Source organism: Homo sapiens, chromosome 8 (assembly GCF_000001405.40).
Source record: "Homo sapiens chromosome 8, GRCh38.p14 Primary Assembly".
In the NCBI taxonomy this organism is placed as follows: Eukaryota; Metazoa; Chordata; class Mammalia; order Primates; family Hominidae; genus Homo; species Homo sapiens.
Window position 1 is genome coordinate 51,802,703 of NC_000008.11, and position 7,466 is coordinate 51,810,168.

The following is a 7,466-nucleotide window of genomic DNA, read 5'->3' on the forward strand; positions in this document are numbered from 1 at the left end:
TTGAATTTTGGTCAGACATGGCCAATTTTACATAATAGCAAGAACAAGGGCTGTGTGATATACCCCTTCATGCATCCTGTGAAGTAGCTTATTGAACTTCATGGCAGAATGGAATATACAGGCTAACAAAGAACACACCAGGATGTTTAAGTTATAGTGGTACCTATTTGTTTTTGATAAACATTTACATAACTTAAACCTACATCAACTTGAGTAAAGTTAACATTTCACTGAATAAAACAAAACTTTATAAACATTATTTGTGAAAGATGTCTAAGCAAAGGAATACATTTACAAAATAATGTAGTAGCTGAACATCCAGGTATCCTCAAAATTGTCCTAATGTTTCTCTCTCCCTTTGGGGCCAGAAGCATCAATGTCAGACCTATTCTGCACCTGGGTTAGAACATGTGCTGCAGCAACGAGGCTTCCAGAGGCCTTGGCTCACTGTGGGTTGGAGGCCTCCCATCTGTCCTGCTGGGTTCCCTGCCTCCCAGATAAGGAGGTCTGTGTCCTGACTGTTGATCTAGACAGGAAGCTCTCAGTTACTTGCTTATATCAATATCTCAGCGAGTATCTCTCTTTGGAAACTGCGAGGTCCAGTAGAAAACCTTTCCATTTCTCAGCTCTCACATCCTTCCTCTTCCCACACTACTCTCATTCCCTTTGCCTACCACACAAAAAAACTCTCCCTGTCCTTCATAAAAACAAACAGACCAACATAAACAACAAAATTCACTTGACCCTGTCCCTCTCTTCCAACTTCTTAGAGGTGGAATTTGCACTCTGCCACCTCGAGCTCTGACAGATGTGGCCCCCATCCTCTCTCTTGAAGAACAAACGATACTGTCTTCTGGGCTCCTCCTGAGTCTTCGGTAGATGTGTTCCTCTGTCTCTTCCCTCCTTTTCCTCCAGGACCACAGTGTTGCACAGCTGCAAGGGGGGCACATTTCCCAGCACACTTTGGAGTTGTGCAGTACACAGCCTACACAACCACTGGTGACCGTCCTGGCTTTTGTTCTTCTTTGTGTTTACTTGACCGTGGAGCATTCCAGAATTCTAGCCTATGTGGCCTTTTCCCATTCTTCCCTCTGGGAAATCTCATTTCTTCTGTTCAACCTAATTAATGTACACCGTTAGCCCAATGACTTTCAGAACTGCATGTTTTGCCTCTATCTCCCTCCTGAGCTTATATATTTCTGAGCCCCTACCCCTTCTACCAGAATGCCCATGTAAAACACAACAAAATTCAACAATGTATGAACCTCAAATATCCAAGACAGGTCTCAGTTAATTTAGAAAGTTTATTTTGCCAAGGTTGAGGACACACTCCCATGACACAGCCTCAGGAGGTCCTGATGACATGATAGAGCACAATTCGGTTTTATACATTTTAGGGAGACATGAGACATCAATCAGTTTATGTAAGATGAATATTGATTTGGTCTGGAAGGTGGGACAACTTGAAGCAAAGGAGGACAACTTGAAGTGGGGAGGGGGCTTCTAGGTCATACATAGATAAGAAACAAATGGTTACATTCTTTTGAGTTTCTGATTAGCCTCTCCAAAGGAGGCAATCGGATACAGATATATCTCAGTGAGCAGAGGGGTGACTTTGAGTAGAACGGGAGGAAGGTTGGCCCTAAGCAGTTCCTAGCTTGACCTTTCCCTTTAGCTTAGTGATTTTTGGGGACCCAAGATTTATTTTGCTTTCACACTCTCCATGATTCAATTTTTTTTCTCCTCTTTTTCACTCATTTCACTGTCTTTGTTGCCCATCTAGTTGACAAACGAGGACATTCACCATCCCTTTTTACTCCATAAATACAGAAGCAGAATTGGTCCTTCTAACACCAGACTTGTACTGTCATTCAACTTTTCCCATGTGCAGTAGCTCTCCAACTAGCACAGGGACCACAGCTTTGCTGCCTCAGGTTGCGGCTACTCCCCACAAAGCTACTATTCCATAACACATCCCTTCACTTCATTTATAGAATCTACAGTAGGGTTGAAAGGCAGCACTTAGTGTAGGGAACACTGTTCTAATACTTTAATCAGCATATACCATCTAAGTACAGGCTGTTGTAGGATATCCTGGCTCCACTGACCTTCTAAAACAATTTGTCTGTCCATTTGTTTCTTGAAGGATGACTCCCAAGTCTCCAGGGTACATTATACCCCAGCCAGTGGTGCTGGCCTTTACTCCTCTACCTCCTCAAGCTGTCACCTCCACATTGTCCCTATGTCCATTCTCCTGCTTGGGCTCCATCCACACTCACCTGCCCTTCCTTCCAGAACAGCCTCTTCCAGCCCCTCTCCACAGAACCACACTGGCCTGAGTCAGGAGGTCAGTGACAGCCCACTTTCAGTTTCATTTCTCTCCCCAACAAGTCAACCACTGGGGGAAGTTTGAATGTTGACACACTTCATCTGGGTCCCACTGTGCTTCCCCTCAACAATGCCAGGTGGGGGAAGGTCCAAAAAGTTCAGGCCTGTTCATTACTGCCAAGTGGTCATTCAAAGCCAGTAAGTTATGTCGGTTACAAACAAGCTACAAAAAATTTTGTAACAAAGGTAAAAGTAAGCCCTATTAAGTTGTATTTTATATATACATATATATATTTTAAATTATACAATTTTATATATAAAACTTTATATATAATTTAAATTATAAAATTATGTTTGCTGCCTCAGATTGCAGCTACTCCCTATTATTCCATAACACATCATTTTATGTATATATACAAAATGATATATATATTATATATATATAAAATGAATGGAAATTGGAAGAGCTGAAGGAATTCTATTTTCTTCTTGAACAAGGTGAAATTTTTTATCAGCTGGACACACTTTTTCATGACTGAGCATAAGACATTTTCCATTTCCCCACCCCCATCTTGTTCCTCAAGTTTTCTATTATTTGGACAGCAAAGAAAGCTTTCCACATAAAGAAAATGTCTTTAAATTAAATGTTTAGAATTTCACATTGTAAATACTTTTGTATTTATGACTTTTAGGAAAATCCTCGATCATTAAAACAGCCCTAAGCTTAAAACTTTTTCTAATCAAGGTGGTTTTTAGAGCATGTTCAATTTGCAGTCACTGAGTCCATTTCTTAACCAGTAACTAAGGAAATTAGGAAAGTACAACCTAATGACCCTGGAATAGGATGGAGTCAAATCACACTCACCATACACTGCTTCTGATTACTGAACAGGCTCCCTAAAGATGCTGTGTTCATTACTGGACATTTTTTTGTTTGCAAATTCTAATTCTGAAAGATTTGTTTTACTAAAATCCACGGCACAAAGAGTGAGATTTTCTCAATGGCAGCAGGCTTTTTGGTAAATGATATTAGTTTAGAAACACAATATCTTTATAGTCAGAATGAAATTAAAATTTGGAGGGACAGTTTTGCATTTTTCTAAACTTAAAACCCTGATCAACTGTAACCAATCTTAAAAATAATACAGTTTTCTTATCTATGATTTAGGAAAATATTTTCTGCATTCAGGCTAAAATTTTAAAACATGTAAAAATGGAAAAAATTAAGGAAATTTTAACACTACTACTAATAAGCATTTACTAAGCATGTTGGCCATTTGCAGAGCTAAATATATTATTTACATCATTTCCATGTTATAATGACAATAAACATACATAAGGGCGGTTTAACAAAAACTATTGGTTCTGCTGCTGGGGAGAAATTCATTCAGCTTCCATTTGCCTTAGTTTTCAAAAACTAATTGGCTTTTTCCCATAATTGTTATTGTCATCTTTCATGATATTGCTGACATAAAATGCAATCCTACATCAAGGATTTTTAGCCCCAGAGGAGTAGAGGAGCAATTTTTACAGGCTTTACATATACTTCTCAGCTTTTATACCATTTCTCTACTAGAAGTCACAAACTGAAGGTCCTAGGCAAAAAGCAACCTACAAATATGCATGGTTGGGCTTGTATATTTTTGCCTTTCCATTTCTAAAAATGTAATTAGCTGCTAATATTGAAAAGCTAGGGAATGTCACTTTTGGCTTCCATATTTTCTTGAAACTATGGCCCAAATCCCCAAAGGCCATCAATTAGCTAAGTAACTGGCTGCCCCATTAGCAAGAGCTGCCTCTGCCTTCATTACCATCCCCACACACTCCAAGCTTCAGGCTAGTTGCTATTCATCACACAGTAGTCTGCCTTTCATCTACCCCACTTCCCTCAAATTGTTTACTGGCAGGTTCCCAGAGATATTTAGGTTTGTAATTCCTGTCCTGAATTGCAAACATGATACTAATAGTGAAAACTTCCATAGTGTTTACTAGAGCTAAGCAATTTTCTAGGTACTTAAAATGCATTAATTCATTAAATCTTCAAGATAACCAATAGGGTGAAGAGTGCATCAGTCTGTTTTCACACACTGTGATAAAGAAATACCTGAAACTGGGTAATTTACAAAGAAAAGAGGTTTAATTGGTTCATGGTTCTGCAGGCTGTACAAGAAGTACAGCAACTTTTGCTTGGCTTCTGGGGAGGCCTCAGGAAACTTACAATCATCGCAGAAGGCAAAGGGGGAGTGAGAACTTCACATGGCCAGAGCAAGAGGAAGAGAGACGCAAGAAGAGCTATATACTTTTAAACAACCTGATCTTGTGATACCTCACTCTCGCCATGACAACACCAAGGGAGGTGGTGTTAAACCATGAGAATCCGCCCCCACTATCCAATCACCTCCCACTGCACCCCACCTCCAACATTGGGAGTTACAATTGAACATGAGATTTGGGTGGGGACACAGATCCAAACCATATCAAACACTGTTAGCATCTCCATTTTTACAGATTAGGAAACTGTGACACCAAGAAGTTAAGAATTTGTCCAAGGCAACACATTTTGTAAGTGGTGGCACCAGACTCCCAGACAGGAATCTAGCCAAGGGCCTGAGAATCCACCATTAAGCTTTATTTTTAAACATAGTGGAAGGCTCTGCATGACAACACTGACAACATCACTTCAGTTCTGCTCATTACATTTAGAGGTGTGTGTCTAATGCAAGCTAATCTCTTCTTTGAAACACCTAGGAAACAAAATTTAGGTCGAGTTGTACCTCATGTAGCTCCAAGATACTTCATTAGACAAGCAGCCCCTTCTCCAAGGCTTTGCTGCTATCTACCAAAAAACTGTCATTACAAAAGGACAAATGGCTGGTTCTGAGTCTGAAGGCACTTGCAGAACTGTGCTGTCCACATAGCAATAAGCAGTGCTCCCAAGTTCAAGAATCCTTTCAGTTATTACAGTAAGACGTATTTTGATATCTGCATGCATATAAAATTAATGAAATGCTTTATAGAAATGAAAATCTATGGATAATATGTCATTTTCTATGTAAATACCATCAAATTGGACTTTTTATTACCAAGTCCTCATTTCACGATTATGACTGACAAATGTGTGGCAATGATCCTCTTAAACATTTATATCTCAAAATTCCAGGAATTTTAAGCTATTTCCCTCTGCCCAAGAATGGACTTGAAACACTGCAAGCAGTTTTGTCTTCCATGAACATGACACAACCCACAAAATATTTATTATAGAGCAGGAAACCTCTTTAGTCTGCATCTTTCAGCATTTTTCCTTTTCTTCTTTTATTTTTTCTTAAATTTTTGAATTTGTCGTCTTTTTCTTTCTTTAAAAATAGACCCTAGAAACAGATCCTTTTCTTCTTTTGTGGTGATTTGCCCTTCTAATTATCTAATTATGACTTAATTTAATCTAAATAAATCTAAATGTTTGGGTTTATTATCTGAATATTAAAGATGAGAAGATAGGATTTGAACTCAGACCTGTTTGACTTCCAAATTCTGGTTTGCCCTACTATCCCGTAATGCCTCCTAGATGCCGATTAGTCTAAGCGGCTGCTCCACAAGGCTTTTAAGCATTCAAGAACTCTACTGGACCATTTGAGGGTCTGTTCTGGAGACAGACAGTGCTTCAAGTGCTGAGGGCTCAGGACTTCACCCTCCCAGGAGGTACACACAGTACAAAGCCTAACAATTTGTCAGCACATAATCAATTGAAACCACACTCTAAAGTTAAATTAGTTCCTTCCAAATGGGGCAGACACGTGCTGACCAATTAAGAGGCCCAAAGACTTGGGAGTAGAGGATGAATAGGAATAAATTGAGAAAGTATGCAGGAAAATTATTGAAGGAAGAATGAAGACGAGAATTCTCAATGCTAAGTTCTGGAAGATGCTGGAAGAGAACTGAATCCAAAACAAATATATTTATGTCAACTCATCATTGCTTACATTTTCTAGTCTAACAGAGCAGAACCATGAAATTGTTTGAAAAGTGAAAAGCCTCTTCTAAGTATACAAGCAGGGAGAGCATTAGGAATCGTAAATTAAAAGGACACAGGTCCTAGCAGAGAAGCAATGAAGCATTGGGGAAGAGGGTTTCTGGGGAATTTATGTGAACTTACAGAACTGTGGTCTGCTGTGGTACCTGAGGAATGTGGTCCAGCATCAAGTGCATGCAGCGGACGGTGCTCTTAAAGCAAAGGCACCGGCTGGGGCAGGGCAACCCTGGCAGGCACCACCCGGCCAGGAGAAAGAGAGTGGTCCAGCAGAACAGTCTGGGCTCCATCGCTCCATTCGCTGCTGGCCACGCGAAGAAGCAGCCGGAGGGAGAGCAGCAGCTGCAGCTGCAGCAGCAACCGCAGTGGTGGTGATGGTGGCTGCTGGACTGAGCCAAGTTTGGGAGCCGTGGTGGAAAGCAGCTCCCAGGGAAAGGACACCCCTCTGACCAATCCAGGAGGAGGGATATCACATTACAGGGCTGAGGGCACAAGCAGCTCTAGGAAGCACTAGACTCCCAGAGGCGAGGACGAGAAGCTTTTCAATGCAAAAGCCTCTTTCTAAAACACCGTGTTTTAGGCAGCATAATGCAAACAAACTTTTCCAAAATTACTTCCACTGCGCATTTGATGAAAAACCCGACCTCTTAGCCTCCAGCTGTCCTCTTGAAGCCCAAGTTGATTAAGAATGTATTGAAACAATGCAGAACAGCTTTTCTTCTTTTTTATCTGGTAACATTACCAAACCCTAAAGGGCAGGCAGAGTTCTAATTCGTTCATCTAGGTGCACATATTCTTTCTTTATTCCAAACTATGCTCTTTAATAAAAATTGTTTCATTTCCTTCTATATATTCTGCTGCTGAAACCCAACACATTTCACTCATGTAAGACTCAAACGGGCTACTTCTGATTTCTTCTTTTAACGTTTAAATTTATATGCTTAAAACCATGAACTCACATACCTCCTTCAAGAGGATACAACTGATGGACAAACCTAAGTATGTATATGTAAAGTCAAACAGATGCAAGCTCCCTCAGGACACACTGGCAGCAGTGGTCTTGCTGGTTGCAGACTTTTCATCAGCAGTTTGAACTGGCCATCTTTCCCTGAAG

The 7,466-nt window shown here is 40.3% G+C and overlaps 1 protein-coding gene across 7 annotated transcripts in view, besides 2 other annotated features; it reads right to left on the bottom strand.

Annotated features, from left to right (window-relative positions):
• Window positions 1-6,743, bottom strand: part of PXDNL (peroxidasin like) — a 489,869-nt gene extending 483,126 nt beyond the window's left edge. For all 7 annotated transcript variants that reach the window (XR_007060701.1, XM_047421364.1, XM_047421365.1 and 4 more), the window contains exon 1: window positions 6,479-6,743. Coding sequence is in view for 5 of the 7 variants with exons in the window: in XM_047421364.1 (XP_047277320.1) it covers window positions 6,479-6,642 (164 nt within the window). In the remaining 2 variants the exon portion in view is untranslated. The remainder of the gene's footprint in view (window positions 1-6,478) is intronic.
• Window positions 6,116-6,638: an enhancer, noted in NCBI's record as "H3K4me1 hESC enhancer chr8:52721378-52721900 (GRCh37/hg19 assembly coordinates)". NCBI's record gives its function as "activates a minimal SCP1, AML or CMV promoter by ChIP-STARR-seq in naive H9 embryonic stem cells {active_cell/tissue: H9 hESC(naive)}" and the evidence as "EXISTENCE:reporter gene assay evidence [ECO:0000049][PMID:30033119]".
• Window positions 6,639-7,160: an enhancer, noted in NCBI's record as "H3K4me1 hESC enhancer chr8:52721901-52722422 (GRCh37/hg19 assembly coordinates)". NCBI's record gives its function as "activates a minimal SCP1, AML or CMV promoter by ChIP-STARR-seq in naive H9 embryonic stem cells {active_cell/tissue: H9 hESC(naive)}" and the evidence as "EXISTENCE:reporter gene assay evidence [ECO:0000049][PMID:30033119]".